We start from the raw sequence: 19,901 nt of genomic DNA on the forward strand, positions 1-19,901 counted from the left end.
CAGAACTTGGCACATAGTAAATGTCCAATATATGTTAGCCACTGTACATGATACTGGGAGCAGATGAGAAATAGTGGTGTTTATGCATCCTGGGTTGAGGTTTGGTGTGGAGAATATGTGCCTGCTCTTGGCCTTTTCTCACATTATCAGGAAAGGCTAGAGAGGGAGTAGCTAGATCAGGGTGCTGTAGGTGTCCCTTACAGAAGAGCAGCCCCTGGGGAATAAACACAAGCTATGGAAGGAAGCTTGACCAGGCAGCTGAGTAGGTTTCATGATAGTTAGAGTAGGTGTATATGGATCAACATTAAAATGGTCAGGTCCCAGGCGCTGGTGCTACCATTTTGAGGCTGAGGTTCTTAGTGGAAACTGACAAGACAAGGTAGATTCTAGGGCCTGTAGAAACTCGGCAACTCATGTCTCAGACAAAGGGCTAGATCTGTTCTCCATAAAGAACTCTATAAGACAATTAAATAAGCCCACCACCGTATTAAAGGAGAGCAAAAAATAGAAATAAACAGTTTGCAGAAAAAGAAGTAGAAATGGCTTTTAAGCACATGAAAAGCCACTCAGCCCCACTCATAAAAGAAAAAATGTGAATTGCAACTACAGCAAGATTCCATTTTTCACCTATCAGATTGGCAATGTAAGAGTTTGATAATACTAAGAAATGGCTCTCTGCCAATTGGCGCAACTTTTACAGAAAGACATTTGTTAATATCTATCCAAATTAAAAATGCATATGCCTTTTCACCTAGCAGTTCCACAGGTAGCAAAATGTCCCACATATATATTCTCAAATGTGTGAAATAATCCATGAAAAGTTTATTCATGTAAGCATTGTTTGTAATAGCAAAGTTTTCAGAACGTCCTGAGAGCCCACCAATAGGACTGGCTAAATAAATAAGTTTGCGTCAATTTAATGCAACTGTAAACAAGAACAAAGAAGTACTTTTTGTGTAGACATGAACTCCAAGATTTTTTGCTTTTTTTAAAAAAGGCAAAGTGCAGAAAAACATGTCTAGTGGGCTACTTACTCCTTGTGTTTAGAAAGGGAAAACAGGCTATATACATACTTATCATCTTATGTTTATGCATATGCATAAATAGGTGATATAGATTATCTGTTATTTGAAATGCTTGAGACCAGAAGTGTTTTGGATTTAGATTTTTTTGGATTTTGGGATATTTGCATTATGTTTACCAGTGGCGTATCCCTAATTTGAAAATCTGAAATCCAAAATAGTCCAATGAGCATTTCCTTTGAGGGTCCTGTCAGGGCTCAAAACATTTCAGATTTTGGGGCAATTTGAATTCTGGATATTCAATTATGGGGATGCTTAACCTGTACATTATTTGCCTGTGTGGAGGAAAATTGGGGGATAAGTGAGAGAGAAACTTTCCACTTCATACCATTTAGTAGTGCTTGAATTTTTTTTTTTTTTTTTTTTTTTTGAGACGGAGTTTCGCTCTGTCGCCCAGGCTGGAGTGCAGTGGCGCGATCTCGACTCACTGCAAGCTCCGCCTCCCGGGTTCACGCCATTCTCCTGCCTCAGCCTCCCGTGTAGCTGGGACTACAGGCACACGCCACCATGCCCGGCTAATTTTTGTATTTTTAGTAGAGACGGGGTTTCACCGTGTTAGCCAGGATGGTCTCGATCTCCTGACCTCGTGATCCGCCCGTCTCGGCCTCCCAAAGTGCTGGGATTACAGGCGTGAGCCACCGCGCCCGGCCTAGTGCTTGAATTTTGAATCGTATAAATTCATTACCTATTCAAACTTTTAAAATAGAAATATTGCATCCTGATCTCTAATATAACCATGGAATTTAATGTGAAAAGTGTGTTTTGAAATACTGATGAATGCAATTAATCATATACCACCCTACTCCTGTTCCTTTTGATATCCAACAATATTTGAATAAATTTGATGCCCCAGGAAGACACTATGGGCTTATCCTATAGCTCCTTACATCCTGGTGTTTAGATCAAGTACTGCTGAACATGCACTTATCACAGTGTGAGATGGTTTTAGTGGCATGAGTAAGGCTTTGGAGGAGGCAGAGCTGAGCATAAATCCTGTTTATATTATCATTGGCTACATTAACTTGATTGAGTTGCCTAATCTCTCTATACCTTGATTTCTTGATCCGTAAAATGTAAATAATAACTATTCAGTGCTTTATCATGAAGTTGACCTTCAGTCCCCTCATATGCCATGGGATTTCAAGTTGATTTAAGGATGAAACTCATTAACAAACAGCTTTCTGCATTAGTGTCCCAGCTTTGCCTCTGTTAGAGCCATGGTAAAGCTGACCAAACTTACCTCTTGCCCCTTGTTTCACTAAGTCCCTTGTAAATGACTCCAACCCACTGTTTTCTGGTTCCTGCCGCCTCTTTGAAGTTGGTCTCCATTTCTTCCTGGTCAGCCAATTCTCTTTCTAAGGTACACTCAACTTAGCACTAAGAATGTGCTTCTTACCCTCTTTCCTATCCAAAGCCTCTGGAGGCGTCTTAGATAGTTGTTTTGTCACGGTTGAGAGAAAGGGAATTCCTTTCACAATGGGATTTGGGGGCCAATCTATTGTGTCTGGATCCCCAGGGACATGGTGGCAATCATACTTATCTTGGAAGGATTTGTGCCAGGGGTGCAGGGGTAGGTTAGACTCTTCTGTCTTCCCTTCCTCTAACTGCAGCTCCTACTTACCTGTGGCAACTTTCAGACGTCTATGCTAACTGTTCATCAGAGTTTGGCTTGGTGTAATTTACAATCAGATGTACATAAAATGTGTTTGTGTCTTGCAAACTGTTTACTTAAGCAACTACTAGGACCTGTTACTACATGACATCAAAAGCTCTGAGGTAGTTGTTTTATGGTCAGTCCAAAAAATGATCGAAGGTTTGGGTTTGTATGTGTTCATGTACTTTAATGGGAGAGAAATTCGCATATGGTTAATAGATTGGTTGCTATGATGAGATAGAATGCTTTTTGAAAAAGTTTCCCTTTAAAGTCAAACATTAATCACTTTCCAGGTGGAGGGAAAGCAGAAGTGAGAAAAACCCAGACTGTCATAGGCTAGATTTCCCCCAGATATTATTGCTGCTTCTGTCTCTACAGCCGAACATAACAGCTGGTGAATAGGCAGAAACTGGAGAAAGATCTTTTCTTGCCTTTAATCCAGTATGCTGTTTTCTTGTGCCCGTTTTACTGTAATTCTCGGCGGCCATGGGACAAAAGCTGTTGACTGATACATGCAATTACCTCCTCTAATATTGCTCTCAACTGTCGGGCCTGACTGACAAAAGTGGATGAGGTTTAGTTAAGGTCTGGGAAAACACTCTTAATAAAAGACATTCCCATCTGTATGATCACACCCTCCCTCAGACCTTTTCATCTGTTTTCTAGAAAGATAAGGTCTGGTGATGGAAAGTTAAAACGTGGTGCTGAACTTGGATGTTAGCAACACCACCATTTACCTCAAAAAAATTCTCCACAGTGTGGTGTGTGTGTGTGTGTGTGTGCACAGTTTGCATTTGCAATGATGGAAATCAGTTTGGATCATTGGGCAGAGTTTCCCCAGAAAGAATAAGAGGCTCTTTTAGAACGTTAAACCAGATCCTTATTGGTTTCAGCCCTCAACTGATTATTTTGTAGGTAAAAGAAAGCCTGAGGAGGCTTTCCCCTCTGAGTTTTTCCGTGGATTGCTGGACTCTGAGGCCCTCATTCCTCTTGCAGGAGGTGTGGAGCAAAACTGTGTTGAATGAACTGTAGATGGAAATTCTCTCCTTCCCACCGAGGAGCCGCTGCAGGTTGCAGACTCCCAGAATGCCACACTGAGAAGAGGAGGGCTAAAATTCTAGAGCAGAATCCCTGGGGCAGCCCCTGCTGAAGAAGGGTGCATCTGTTGAGAATCTCATCACCGCCCCCACCCCGCCCAGCCTTCAATTTAGAGGAATTTCTAGTTCACGCAGAATGAAGACAAGATCACATAAGTGAGGACGACGCCCCATTTACAAGTGTGATTTGGAAGACTGAAGTGGAAACCTTGGGAAGGTGTTCTTATAAAAACAAAAAACTGTGTGGGTTGGGTTGTGTGCCTGCCTTTTGAAAGGCCTGCTGGTCGTTCTGAATGCAGACTGCTGGCCATGGTGCAGATGGAAACCAATTCTTTAGGAAGGCTGGGCAGCACTTGGCAGAGCCTTCTCCCTGACTGCTTTGATTTGTGTGCGTGTGTGGGGAGGGGGTTGGGACTGAAGAGGTTGCAGTTTATTCATACACCCAGAAGGGAGCTAATCCAGGTCAGAAGGAAGTCTGCTCCCTTATCAACAGTTAGGTAGCTTTTCCTATCAGTTTTCCCTTGTGTTGGCACTCAATTTTCATAATACGATATGTAATGTGATAAGGCCTACCCATTATTAATAGTAGCAATAGCATGGCAAGGTTATTCCTATGCAGTTTTCTTAAAGAACAAAGGGCCAAGCTACTGATGAAGCGAAATTACCTATGATTTTAGAACCAGGACAAAACAAATTATTCTCTTTCAAATATCTGCAGACTCTACTTAAAAAAGGTTTCTCTTAGTGATAAGCCCACCTTCCACCTCCACCCTTTCCTCCTTCATGTGGAAACTATACATCAAGGTAACACCTGTTTGCTTTCTGCAGGGGCCTCAGAGTATGTCAGCTGGGGTCAGACGGGAACAGGAGTCTGGCTCAACACACATTTATTGCACTCCTGTTTCATGCCAAGAAATGTACCAAAATCTGGGACTGTGTAACACAGCAAAGGAAAAGACTCATCTCCAGGAAGCCCCCTTGTCTAGGAAGAGAAATTGAATATCAGCATAAGGTGGTGAAAAGCTGTGAAGGAGATGAGTGCCAGGAGTCCATGGAGGAAGGATTCTAGCCTGGACAGGTGAGGAATGGCTTTCTGGAAGAAGCAGATGCCCCAGCTGAACTTTAAAATGCCCATGTGAAATGAACTGTCTGTATCTTCAATCAGCAAATGGAGTAGGTGGCCACTGTTTAATTCTGGAATGGGGAAGTGTAAAGGTGTGGTGTGTGTGTTTACCCCTACTTAGGGATTCAAAACAGACAGTAAAGAACAAAAGTCTAGCCCTTTGAGCATTCTCCATGGGACATTTGAGGTCTAGCTGGCCCCAGAGAAAGAGAGACAGAAGCAAGGTCATATCCATTTGAGAAAATCAAAGTGTCTGCTCCAATTGAGTCTGGTGTCCTTATTCCTGGAATAGCCATCCCTACTGCTCTGGTGCTGATTTACCTCCGGCAGTTCAGTGCTTCCTGGAAGGTAGGCTGGGCTTTTTAACAAAGTGACTCCTTACTTGACATGTTTTACCCAAACACAGAGGCCACTGCACTATGTGCAAGAAACAACAAAAAATTAAATGAGACTCAATGCCTTCCTTAGGGATCTAAAACCCCAGTAACACAGATAAACAGGTAAACAAATAATGTGATGGTGTGATTCTATAGCAACAGGAATAGAGCACTGCAGGGCCACCGAAGGAAAAGGTGATGACCTGGCTTGGATTCAGTGATAAAAAGGGGCTTACCTCCTTTCTCTGTTTCTGCTAAAAGCCAGTGATTACCCCCTGCTTTTCCCATGTTGGGCATAGCTGTAAGTACTTTAGACATAGCGGCACATTTAATCATCATGCAACAATAAGAGGAAGCTGAGGCAGACAGAAGTGCCCAAAGTCACATACTTGAAGCCAGGACTTGAACCTGGGCTATCTGGCTCCTGAATCCATGGCTTTCACTAATAATGACTTACCCTCCAATGAGGAACAAGCTCCATTCTGGCCTTTCTTTAGCGAAGGCAACTGCCTGAGCTCATGGTCTGATCTGGCTTCTGGGAAAGAGAAAGCAGGGGAAACGTCTAGAGATGGCATACTGGGAGAAGAAATTTCTTGCTGTGGAATCCTGCCCCCATCTCCCTCCCCACCATACACAATCCCACGTGCATTTACACCTACACGCCGTGTACACACGAACATTTTTTCTGCTACTCCCATGGGCCCCAACTCTGCCTTTTCATCAAAATCACCCAGAGTTTTAAATAAAATGCAGATGTTGAGGCTTGTTCCTAAATTATAATCTTGGGCATCTAAATTTTTTGATTAAAAAAAATTGACATGCATGCTTAAAGTAAAAATTTAGACAATACAGCAAAGAATGTGTTTGTACCCCTCCCACCTAGCCCTTAGTTCTTCCGAAAGGCAAATACTTAACCGTTCCTTGTTATCCTTCCAGAAAACAATATATGCATATATTCATCTTTTTTTTCTTCTTCCTCTGTAGGTGATTGTGGTGAATAGTCATGAGAATCTGGGAACTGGCTCCTGCTCTGTCTATCTTGGAGATGCATCTTTTGTGAGAAGCCAGGGCAAGAATAGGGAGGCTTAGGCAATGGGAAGTTTCTGAGTAGATAAAGCAGATGGCAGAGCAAAGGGACAGAGCCTGGCGAGAGGCTACTCCCTGTAGCAACCTGCCTAAGAGTGAGAGGAAAGCAAGGCATGGCTATGAGCACGTGTAGTCTCAGCTACTTGGGAAGCTGAGGCTGGGGGATCACTTGAGCCCAGGAGTTCAAGACCAGCCTAGGCAACATAGTGAGACCATGTCTCTTTAAAAAAAAAAAAAAAAAGAAAAAGGGAGAGAGAGAAAAAAAGGTGACAATTCCCCCAACACACATAAAGTACATAAGAGTTAACAAGGACACAGTGGCAGAAAATAGTCAGAACTGAGCAAGCATCAGTGAGGAAATGTTTTCCTGAGGAGACTTGAGAAGTCTCAAAAATGAAAAGAAAGAGTATTTGGTGTAGAAAGAATGGCATGAGATGTGAAAGCTCATTCATCCATTTATTCCAGGTATATCTTTTTCTTCAGTACTTTGGGAGGCAATAGGTGTAATAGCAAGAACATTCAGGTTAGTGGGTTAGTGTGAGTCTGCCATATGTATGAGGGTTGAATACACATTAGGTGTGGTGACTGTCATATGGGAGGCACTGCAAGGTGAAGGAGACATGTCCTCACATTTGGTCTTTGGGAAGCGAAGCAGGCAGAAACCCAAGTGCAAAGTGGCCATTTGTTTTCCTAATGCTAGATAAGTACCTGATGTGTTGGAAGGGTGGAGTAGAACTAGAAACTCCTGGAAGTTCTTTTAAGAACGAATGCAGGACCTCATCAGCCCGAGTCTTTAAATAAGTCACACATTTTTGGTCACCACATTCTGGAAGGGGGACAAAAAGATCTGTCACAGACAAAATTTGGAGATATTTAAGGCTTTGTTGACTTTGGCAAATGCTTGATTATAGTTCTGTGGTCTGTTTGTTTTCTAGAGTCTCCATGAATTGCAAGGGAAAACAAGTGGTACACTGGTATTTCTATTTGATAACCTGTTCTCTTTGGAATTCCGGTTAGAAATCAAAGGCTTACTTGAGTTTTAATGCTTTCGGGACTTCAAATGCTTTTCTATCTTCCTAATAATATATTAACATTTTCTGAAGACAACATATATGTGGAAAACAACATTATTTACTCAAATAATTTTTTTTGAAAAATGGACCAAAAAAAAAGAAAAACCAACAAAAACCTTTTCATGTTGTATCTCAGACTAGCCCATGTTGTGTTCCAAAATTTTTTTGCTGAATGGTTGTTTCTGTAATTGAAAGGCCCATGATTTTTTTTTCACAGCACCATTTTGCTTTTTAAAATTTCTACTGTGTGCCAGGTATGGTTTTGGCATTGCATCCTTGCAGGAGCACTGCAAGGGAATGATTGCGCTATTATCTTCATTTTACAGACAAGGAAAGTGAAAGCAACAAAAAGTTTCATATCTTACCTAAGGTCTTCTTGTTCTGATAAGTGATCAAGCTGGTATTTGAACTTGGGTGCCTCAACATGAAGGTCAAGCATCTCATTTTACAGATGAGCCAACTGAAGTCCCAAGATCACTCACCTCATTGGTTACAGATCTTGGAGCCCAGGGACTCTCAATTCAGGACCAGTATGCTTTGCATGACATGCAGGATGTATCTGAGACACAAACTGTGGTTTGTTCTCTTTTCTTCCCAATGCATCCTGCGTACAGTATGCTTTGCATGACATGCAGGATGTATCTGAGACACAAACTGTGGTTTGTTCTCTTTTCTTCCCAATGCATCCTGCGTACAGTCTCCCTACCCCCTTCCCCCATGAATCCATGTTTGTTGTTTCCCAGGAGATACAGATGATGGTCCCAGACTCTGTCCATTCTGATCTTTGGCATGGACCCCTAAATCCAGCCAAATGCAGCACCCACAGTCCCTTGCCTGAACAAGATATGGGCTTTTCTATCTCTGTCATTATTCACCATTTACTGTGGTTGGCATGCCTTCTTCCTGCCAGCTCCACAGTTCGAGGTGCCACTATTCTTTCAGATGCATCACACATGCTACTTCTTTTATGAAACTTGCAGAGTCTCAGAGTTGCATGAGATTTGTCACTCTTGTTGAGAGAAAGAGGACAGAGTGGAGAAGAAAAGGGAAGGGAGAAAATGGGTGGAATTTATGGCCCTAGATATGAAGCTTGGAGATGACTGAAGTGATAGATGACTCCAAGGATAATCAATAGCCATGAGAGTTATGGCTTATTGAAAGCTTACTATTTCTTGGGAGAGTGCAATGTTATCATCTCCTTAAATTCTACTGCAAGTCGTCAGGTTTCTGCAGCTGGGATTTAAGCCCAATTCTGCCTGAAGCCAAAACTTGTGTTCTCTTTCACTGTTGTCTCCTAAGACAATTGGTTGTGAGGTAGAAAAAGAACTGGATAATCCTCAAAATGGAAAATTAAAAAGATGAAACTAAATTGGGGTCATGGGTTGAGACAATACAGTGAGAGACACTGGAATTGGAAGAAATGAGGCATGAGGCCAGAGTGGAGCTCCCTTAGGACAATGCTTTTGGCTTCTGGAGCCTTTATTACAATGAGGCAGCTCAGGACTTACAGTGTTCATCTGAGTGCCGGGAATCGTACTGTCATGGTGCTTCTCATGGCTTTTTCATCTTGCTTTGTGTTATAGGGCTTTGGGTTCACAAGCTCTCTGAAGGAGCTGACTGTGAAGGCAAGGACTGTGTCTATGCCTTTTTTAAGGAGACGCACAGTTTGTCTTAACCAAGTGGACACATGAGAGGCACAGAGAGGGGTGCACCTCAGTCTACCCAAGGATATGGAGTGGGGGCTTTATGGAGACCTGAGGGGCCCAGGCACAGAAAAGAGACAAAGTGAGGGAACACTTGAGGCAGATGGCAGGGCACATGCTTAGGGAGGAAAGCTTGGAAAGGCACAGGCAGAGTGTTTAAGGATGTGCCCAGCATGTAATCTAGAGAAAGCAGTCAGAGGAAATGAGACTGGAGAGGCAGCTCGAGGCAGGGCATATATGTGAAAGTCACTCGCACCCCCTCTTATCATATGACTCCAGGCAGTCCTCCAACCCGTCCTCCAACCCACCCACTCGAGCTTCCTGCCTTCTGACAGGTTTCCTTATTTCTGAGCCTCTCGTAACAGGCCCAGTATATCCTTCCTTGCTCATGTAAAGAATTCCACTCATCTTTCAAGACATTTTAAACAGAAGTCCTGTGAGGCCTGCCTTGAGACACTCACACTCAATTTACTTTCTTCAGAAGTGTCTTTTCTACTTCTCTGTTCTAGCACAGCCACAATGTTTCATCTGTTTCCCCTACTATTGTGAGGGCTTCTTCCACAAGAAGAATTTTGTCTTCTCTTTGCACCCCCATTACCAGCACATAGTAAGCGCTCAGCACATTTGATAATGGAATGGCTCTGATTTTACATTCCTGTATTTTTCCGGCAGATAGTGAGTAGTCAGCGGGGACTCATGCATGACTCTGGGAAAAGTAGAGGGTAATTTTTTTATTTGCTTTTCGAGGGCTGATCAGGGCTCCTTATTTTTATGGCGGCCAGCATCCTGCTCACCCTGACTCCCTCCAGCTTCTGGTACCTGCATATCCAGGCTATGTTAATTTCCCTGCATTTTTCCTCTTTGTCACTTTTTCTTTTTTTTCTTCAAAGAGCGTCGCAATCTCTCAGGAGTTTGATTATATTGCAAGATGAATAGGATATTTGAATTATGCTATTTAAATGAGTCATCTCAACCCTAGTGTAATTGTTCACCCCCTGTCACACTAAACGTGACCTACATTTTTAAAAGAGTGCTTTTGGCCTGAATAGAGGATTGCTGAAATTGTTGGGTTCCAGTTCTCAGCAATTTATCATTTGTTATCACCGAGTGTGTCTTTTGTTTCACATCTGGGCAGATGTGAACTTTTAAAACTGTCTCTCACTAGACCTATCAAAAGAAGCTGCTTTTATTTGCAAAAAGAAGGTGAACTGATTTCCTGGGTGTTTATGTGTGTGTGGTATGTGGAGGGGCACAGAGGAGCAGCAGAGTTCATTAAACAGAAGATGTCTGGTCTTGGCTAAGCAGTTTAAAAACATATAGGAGTACTTATGCTGAATTGATTCACATTTTGGTTCTGTGGCCTGAAACTTGCTTGTTTCACCCTTCTTTTTTGAGAGTTTTGGTTGCTCTAAAACTAAGCCTGTATTAATGCTCTTGAGATGGATCAACTGGGGAGCCCTGTCATGCCTTACCATTTTTTCATCTTGGAGTCAAGCTGCAGGACAGGATTCTTATACTGCCCAAATGATTGGAGGCACATTTCCCTCCATTGTCCATTTCTTTGACAGGCTGTGAAACATAACTAACTCCAAAGCCACCTATCAAAGTTCATGAAGGTTTTAGTTAGGAACTGGTGGTTTTGTTGTTACAGATACTTCAGTTATTCAGACTGTGAATTTGAGTCACAGCCTACTAGGCAAGGCCCATACTGAGATACAAAGGAACTGAACTTTCTAAATTAGAGGTGAGCAGCATTTCTGAAGTGATAGATAAGGTCCTTGTACTACATTCATTCAGCAGATATTGATTGTGTGCCCATGAATCAGGCATATGTGTAGGGCGTTAATACAAAAGAAACTGGCCCCTACCCTCAAGAAGTTCACAGTCTAGTGAGGTTGACAGGCATGCAGATGATAACATAATGGAGGCATGCAAGAAATGCTGTGGAAAATTAAGACAGCACAGTCTGCCTGAGGAGAGTGGTCAACGTTTAATAGAGGAGGATGTGCTTGTGTTGGAACTTGTAGGATGAGTAATGGTGAAGGCAAAGGCTACTGTGGCTAGAGTCTAGTGCACGATGATGGAGATGAGGTGGTCAGAACACGAGGGTTCTTGTATGTCAAAGTATGCTAGTTTTACACCATACATTTATTATTATGAATTCAGCTGCGAGGAACAGAAATCTGCAATTCAACTGGCTTAAACACTGAGGAAAATTTATTAGCACATGTAATATGTTCAAAGGCAGTTCCAGGATGACTGAATTCAGTGGCTCGACTCTGTCATTAAGGACTTAGGTTCTTTCCATTTTTTTTGCTCTGCCATCCTTGGTATGATGGTTTGCTCTCAGACTTGCTCTTCTCCTGATCGCAAGGTGACCAAAGAGGAAGAGAGATTTGTTTCTTTGTTTTTGAGGTTTGTTGGTGTTTGTTTTGTCTTGATTTGTGTCTTTTCAATCAGTAAGGAAAATCTTTCCTAAGGAGCTCTCCTGCCACTCCCATCAGACTCATCCTCATGCCTCAGTGGCCAAAAGTGCATCACGTGCCCAATCCTAAACCATTCACTGGCAAGGGGAATGCAACCACCATTACTGGCTCAGACCAATCTTGATTCACTCCCTGGAAGAACTGTCCCACTTCTTCTGGATTATATGGCCCAGGTAGAGGATACTGGAACAAAATTGGGTTTCCGATAGAGAGTAGGAGAAAGGGAGACAATTGATTGCTGAGTTGGCAACCAACAGCATTTGCTATGGTAGATGATGAGAAACCAGTATAGATAATTGAGCAGGAGTGGCATGATCAGTTATGTTTAAAAAAAGTCCTATCAGAAATGTAGAGTTGAGCTTAATAGACAGAAAAATTGAGAACACATGGAATAGTCTTGTGAGCAGCCAAGGAACTGATCAACACACATGTGGAACTGGAGCTGAAACTTTTCTGGAGTCATTCTTCTGTAGTGGTAGGAGGGGGTATTTAGGGGTAGAAAGGCAACTAATGCAGAACAGAGATTTACCAAGAAGTTCCTTATGGTACTGTGGCAAACATGCAAGTTTTTAAAAAAAGGTTCAGATGATAATGTGGTCCACTCAGAGGAGCCACTGTGGCGACAGAATGCTAGCATTTTGGAACTGGTAGTGATCTTGATGTCATCTAGTTCAAGATCTTTATTTTACAAGTTACAGAACTGGGACCCAGGCAAGCAAAGTGATTTGTTAAGTTCCTATGTGTGGTCCATGGCTGAACTAGAACCATGCCCATAGATTTTCTGACTTTCAGCCCAGGGCACTTTGTAATGGATTCTCAGGGCCCTCTCATGGGGTTTAATGTGTCCATTCGGGAGTGCTGTAGAAGCTCCACAGGCCCTCTTCCTATGTTTCTCTTATCCTTGACAACAATTCTATTGTTGGAATTTTGTTGTTGTTGTTGTTGAAATATGGTTTTGGTTTCTATAAAAATGCAAATAATACTGATAAGTATAATGTTTTAAGCTCTTATCATTCATTTGGATCTTAAAGTGAATGTGTCCTTCTTGTTTTTTCTTTGAAGCAGATTTTAATGGGGGATGGGAATAAGAAATTCAGGGTACTGGAAACATAAAAGGAAAAAGGAGGCCCTAAGAAGAATCCCGAAGAAGAGAAGCTGGAGGCTGAGGGTTCATTACTTTGTTGAGGGTGTTTCTTATGACACCAAATAAGACCCATGGTGCCTGAGATACTAATGAGAGGCAATTGCCGTCCTAGTGTGAGGTGGGGCCTCTGGCCCACTTTTCTTGACAATCTAAACATCCATTCACAATGACCCAACTACACTTCTTCACTCTTTCCTTTGGTCTTCAATGTGCCTATGCCTATCCTCCCCAGAACATATATAGTTTTGGCTAAAATTGCTATGCAGAAATTTTTGGAAATTCACCCTGGTAGACAGAGCATGACAGCAGGCATTAAAAAAAAAAAAAGTTCAGTTAAAAACAAGAAAATGGTTTGAGAATCAAGCTCTTACTGAGAAGGAATCTTAGCATTTTGGAGCTGGAAGTGACCCTGAAGTCATCTGGTTCAAGACCTTTATTTTACAAATGAGAAAACTGGGACCCAGACAAGCAAAGTGAGTTGTTAAGTTCCTCCTGTGTGTGGTCCATGGCTGAACTAGAACCATACCCATAGATTTTCTTCCCTTCAGCCCAGGACTCTTCGCAATGGGTTCTCACCAAGCTTAAGTAAAGATTGATCTGTAAAATCAATTTATTTCAACTTTACTTTTGAAAATAGTCCAAAGTATTAATATATTAGTTTATTTTTTTGGTGGTATGCCAAACATTATAAAACTGCTAGTTTTAGATGTAGACAGTGAGTAAAGATTGAGCTAAATCTTTATAGATTGTGGCCTTTTGGGGCATTTGGTAAAAGATAATCCTATTTCTGTAAAACAAATACTGAAAAGAGAAAAAAAAAAGCACATATGTATGTGTATGTCCATCTAAGATTGTTTAAGCCTGGAAAAACATGGAAGGATATATATGAAGTTGTTATCATGGGTTTGCCTGACAGTGCTGATGCGGGTGGAAGAGGAGGGATGGGAGAAGCTGTGCAAATGTATGAGAAAGGGACTAAAAAGGGATGTCTATTATGATATTTATATAAATTTATTTCTAGGTGTGGCTGTATATTGAAAAAATGAGTAAAATACTTTAAAAAGTGATCTGGAAAATGAGAAAAGAAAAATGAGTGTAATTCTCATGTGCGTTTAAAATTATAATGTGTCAAATGTTTGTCTAAATTGGATGATCACTAAGAATAAAATTAAATTGGAAATTTTAATTAAAGGTGCTAAATTAAAGGTGCCAATATGTAGCTGGACATACTCTTCTATTTTCAATTACATTTTGTTTTACTTTCACCCACTTGCTATGTAGTTTTTCATCTCATGCATTTTTTTGATACTTTATGTCAGTAGTGGCTGAATTGTATTTGAAAAATATGTATCATATATAATTACATACACACAATTAAAGCTAAGTTTATTTCAAAATTGTGTATCGTTTATTCTAAAGTGTGAATTTGATCCATCTTAAAAAAAATCCTTTAGTATTTTTACGATGCTCTTATTTTAAAAAACCCTCAAAGTATTAGGACGAGAACTCTAAATAAGCTAGTTCAGTTGACATTTTTAATCGAGATCTTGTAAACCCTTTTCTAAAATTGTGCTTAACGAACTGTAACTGCTTCTGGGTTCACTCAGTACATCCATTGGCACTTTTAATTGTGGAGAGACTAAGTGCATTCATTTATACCATCCCTCCCTCCACCTCCCAAATACCTCCCAGCGCACACAGGTAGACCAACAGCATTTCTTAAGCATTTATCAGGTATCAGATACTCTCCTCACAATAAACTAGTAAAGGCAAATATTTTATGCCCATTTAATAGATCAGGAAACTGAGTCCAAAAGTGATTAAGAATTTACTCAGGTGAATGAACTGAGCCAGGTTTTAAATCCTGGTCAGCTTTGTATTTTTTGTTGTTGTTGTTGTTTTTGTTTTGTTTTGGTTTTTTTGCCATTTGTTTACTACACAACCTAAGCCATGTAACAAGGAAAACTGGAAGGGTTTTCTTACTCCAGAGACTTTACCCAGGCATTGTTTCTGAGATGTGGAAGAGGAGATGGAAGAGAAAGAACAGGAAGGGAAAGATAGGGACAGTCTCTATTCACTTGAATGCCAGATTTTCCTAGGAGAAATGACTGTCTTGGAATAGTTCAGTCTTGGGGTAACCGTCCTCTAAGAACCTCATTCATTTACTCCTAAAACCAATACCTAACATCACTCACCTGGCTTCCAGAATATTCTAACGTTCTTAAGGCCATGTCACTCCTACCATGTTCAAGCAGAGAGAAATGGAGCTTGGAAATATTCAAAGGCACCAAAATTAGAATAAAATGGGGGCATGGGGTCTTGATTTGAACAGGCTGATTTTTTTTTTCCAAATCTTGGCACCCCAAGGGTAAGCTTTCTTTTGTTAAGTAGCAAGAGTTAAAAGAAAACTCCAGGAAAAGGAACACTCACTGTAATCTCCTATGGCCTACAATAAAATGAAAATGAGGCAATGTGGACTTTTTTTCGCCACCACTTTGGACCCTCTACCAATCCTAAGATTCAATTGAGTGAAAAATGTATTTGTTATGTTTATTTTCCTCTGACACATGCACTTTAAAATTAAACTGTTCTTTGAGTTGGTTAACGGCGATAAATCCAGGGAGCATATTTGACATTTTAAGTCATTAATTGTTGCGTAGGCTTCATCAATTGTTTTAACAGAAGGCTTTTGTTTGCTTCCTACGTATTTAAGATTTTTTTTTTAACTTTTAAATAGGACAAAATAGCAGAGGATTAATATTTTCTTTCTGTTGGCTCAAGCAGGAATCCAAGACAGATTTCGATTCTACCATGTCTGATTGATAACTTTGAGAGCACCTAGCCAGGTATTCTGTGATCAAGTGTGTAAGCGCTGGAGAGTGTGTGGCAAAAGAAACCACACAGGAAGGGGCCAAATCACTTTTTTTTTATTGCCAGATAATTTTAGAATAAGCTGATGCTTAACACAATGTAATCTGACATCTCACACAGTGTATAGTATACATTGCTGTGTGTATAGTCACACAATCACGTTCTGGGTATGATTGCTCACATAATGTATTACAAATTAAATAAATATAATTAAAGTCTGTCTTTTGAGTTTCTCGCAGAAAAATTATATTTGACACAGGTTAATACAAATTAAATACAAGATTAGAGTATGTATAGTTGTTTTGGGTATCTGATACCCACCATCTGCCCATTTCACAGTGATATAACTACATTCTGCGATAATAAATTATTAGTTCAGGAGTTTTCAAAACTAGGAGGAAGATGACCCAAGATATTTCAAAGGGCAGCATCAGAAATAACAATCAAAAGTAATTATATAAGGAAATAAGTACAGTTACACCGGTGGTGTTCCAGCCTTCACTTGCTTTATTTTGCCTTTTCATTGGATAATTAGAGGATCCTAAAAGGCATCTTTACTGTCTTTATCCAAGGAATTATGAGCTTTCATGTGCATGGTATTGGGAAATTGTGATCTATTGCTGCCTACTTAGGAAATATGCTCTAAACAGCTCCTAAGACACTGCTGAGCATTAAACAGATACAAGATAATTAAAAACAGTAATTTTTATACCCTTTAAGTTCAAGGAAATTAATAGCTAATTTTAGGGGTAGAAAAGAATAATTAACTTGAAGATGCTCACATTCTCTTCTTGATGATAGGGGCAGCTGATACGAAAGCTTTTTTTGAACTAGTCCCCTAATTTCTAAGTTTGGGACTCAATCATATGGAAAATGGAATATCAGAGCTTTTGAATGGATTCCTTAATCTTGCCTCCGAACTTGCTTATTTTATAGATTCTAAATTATGAGCCACAGAAAATAATGTTTTTCCAATTTTTTTTGTTGAGATGTTATTCACATACCATAAAGTTCGCCCTTTTAAAGTGTACAGTTTAGTGGTTTTTAGTATATTTACAAAATTGTGCCACCATTATCACTATCTAATTTTAGAATATTTTTATCACTCTGTCAAAAATCCCCAACCCCATTAGCAGTTTACTTTCAATTCTTTCTCCCCCAGGTCCTGGCAATCACTAATCTACTTTCTGCCCCTATAGATTTGTCTATCCTATATTCTCCTGCCCTTCCAGATTAAGTCATACTGATTATTCTGTCCCTCCTATTCTGTCAAGAGTCCTTTGCACTCTTCTAGTAAGTACTATTTCTATATTGAAAGACTTTCTATATTGTAATATTTCTGTATTGAAAGACATGCTTTCTGGATTTTTTTTCTTTTTTTTTTTTTGAGACGGAGTCTTGCTCTGTCACTTAGGATGGAGTGCAGTGGCATGATCTCGGCTCACAGCAACCTCTGCCTCCTGAGTTCCAGCGATTCTTCTGCCTTAGCCTCCTGGGTAGCTGGGATTACAGGGATGCACCACCGCACCCGACTAATTTTTGCATTTTTAGTAGAGACAGGGTTTCACCATGTTGGCCAGACTGTCTCAAACTCCTGACCTCAGGTGATCCACCTGCGTCCGCCTCCCAAAGTGCTAGGATTACAGGCGTGACCACCATTCCCGGCCAATTTTTTTTTCTTTTGAGACAGAGTGTCACTCTGCCAATCACCTGGGCTGGAGTGCAGTGGTGTGATCTTGGCTCATTGCAACCTCCGTCTCCTGGGTTCAAGTGATTCTCCCGCTTCAGTCTCCCGAGTAGCTGGAACTGCAGGTGTGTGCCACCCACCACACCTGGCTATTTTTTTTTTTTTTTTGTATTTTTTGGTAGATATGGGGTTTTACCATGTTGGCCAGTCTGGTCTCGAACTCCTGACCTCAAGGCGTTCGGCCACCTTGACCTCCCAAAGTGCTGAGATTACAGGCATCAGCCACTGCGCCTGGCAGCACTTTTCATATTGGGACTTGGTGAAGTAACACATTTGTTGGGCACCTACTGCATGCCAGGCATTGTGCTATGTACTAGAAATACGATCTGTACCACAGGATCATTTAATACTCAACACAATCTTAGAAGTTTTTTATTATTACAATCCTTATAGACAAGAAACTTGAGGTCCAGGATTTCCAAGCTGGTAAGTGGAAGAAAAATTATATGAACCCAAGGTTGGATGGCCTTTTCAATCCACACTTTTGCTACTATGGTCACCATCAGGAGCTTTACATGAATATTCCTCATGTATACCCAATTCAGTGCCTAACACTCACTGTGCGTTTGGTCCATGTTTAGTGTTGGTGTTGGTTCTCCTTACACATCTCTATTGTAGATAATTTAAGAGTTAGTAAACATGTTTTCAAAAGTAGAAGAAATGTTTAGCCTCACTAATTATTAGAGAAATGCAAAGTTAAAGAAAAAGGAGGCACTGTTTTATACGTGCTAATAAACATTTTTAAAATGGCAATATTCACGTGTTTGCAATATTCAAGTGTTTGGTATAGCCTTACATTTCAGGTGGAAGTGTGAACTTTAACAGTCCGTTGAATGCAATTCCAGTTTAAAAAAAAAAAGTTCAGTCTCCATGACCTGTTGCAGTAATTTAATGTAGGGAATGGAATAAAAAATCATATATATATATATATATATATATATATATATATATATATATATATAAAGAAAAAAGGTAGAGATTTATTTACAAAGACATTCACAACAACATTATTTCTAATGCCAAACCATGATTCAAATTCCTGAGAATGGATTAATGAATGGTAAGGTATGGCAGATATCTTCAAATGTAACATTAGGGAGCCATCAGAAATGATAATCATAAAAACCTGGAAATTGTTTGAAAAAAATGAAAAGATTAAATGCAGACTTAAAAGCTTTGAATATAACTATTTAACAATTTACATGTGCAAAAATGTTTTAAAAATGTAGGACAATATCTGGCACACAGTCAACAGTAAGTATTGATTGAATGAATGAATGACCAAACAGAAACAGAATAACACCTGCATGGTATGTAATCTCATTGCTAGAAGTTACAAGATTCAAATAATATGCTATGATTGAAGCAAGGTATGTTTAATAAGACTAAATGTTACATAGTGACTCAGGAAATGTCAATTGCTGTAAATGATTATTGCAGGTCTAGGAAAAATTTAATATTCTTGGTGATATATACATGCAAATAATTTATAACAAATAAAACTTTAGAATGTTTAGAGAATTGTGTAATTATCAACAACAGTGTAAATAACAATTATCATAGCTTTTAAAAATTTTATCTTATTTTGTTTTGTTTTATCATAGCCTTTTAAAGATGGTATAATAGCATCATTTTACGTACTTGTTTATAATTTAGTATCCAGTTCCAAAAATAACATAGGTTAGCTAATAATGATAATGAGTAAAGTTTAAAAAACACCTATTTTGAAGAAAAGATCCACATAGGAGAAAGAAACAAAGACAAAGGCCGTAGTGGGTAAAAAAGAGAGAGAGAGAGAAAGAGAGAGAGAGAGTGAGAGAGAGACAAAGACAATTGTGCAACCTCCAGAGTTGAGCTGGTTACTATAACTGGCAGTGGCAACCACGGGTAGAGAAGCCCATGATGGGTTGTATAACAGTCCTTACAATTTCTTGGATGATGATAACTGCCTGCCTCAGTGCTATAAACATTCCATATCTCTTTTGTATCCTCAGAGAAGAGTCGAGTAGCTACGGGGGCTGCCAAACTACTGGAGTTCATATTCTAACTTCATTGCTTACTATGTTATTATATTACCTTGGGCAAATTCCTCAATCTTATCTGTAAAATGGAAAAAATAATTGTATCCCCTTCACAGGGTTGTTTTGAAGCCCAATGCTTGACACACAATAAAGTACTCAATGTTAGCTATTCTTATGATAATTCTGAGAGATATTATTATTCTTTTCTTACAGAGAAGTAAACTGAGGCTTACAGATATTAGAGGCAAGATTCAAACCCAGTCACATTTCAAAGCCTAAATGCTTTTTCCCACATCTCATCAAGTATATTGTTGACAGAAGAGGATGTCCATTTTGATGAGCTATCAAAGAAAAACAAATTCTTCACTCACCATTTCATACATCTGATGAACTGAGAAATTTTTTACAGACTACCTTCTACCTCCATGCATTTCAAA

At 39.9% G+C, this 19,901-nt stretch overlaps 1 long non-coding RNA gene across 1 annotated transcript in view; it reads left to right on the forward strand.

Annotated features, from left to right (window-relative positions):
* Positions 1 to 14,222, forward strand: part of LINC01206 (long intergenic non-protein coding RNA 1206) — a 58,315-nt gene extending 44,093 nt beyond the window's left edge. Inside the window, exons 6-8 of the long non-coding RNA NR_104146.1 lie at positions 3,733 to 4,050; positions 4,662 to 5,304; positions 6,318 to 14,222. This is a non-coding gene — a long non-coding RNA (long intergenic non-protein coding RNA 1206). The remainder of the gene's footprint in view (positions 1 to 3,732; positions 4,051 to 4,661; positions 5,305 to 6,317) is intronic.
* The last annotated feature ends 5,679 nt before the right edge of the window (positions 14,223 to 19,901 follow it).

Source organism: Homo sapiens, chromosome 3 (assembly GCF_000001405.40).
Source record: "Homo sapiens chromosome 3, GRCh38.p14 Primary Assembly".
Lineage (NCBI taxonomy): Eukaryota > Metazoa > Chordata > Mammalia > Primates > Hominidae > Homo > Homo sapiens.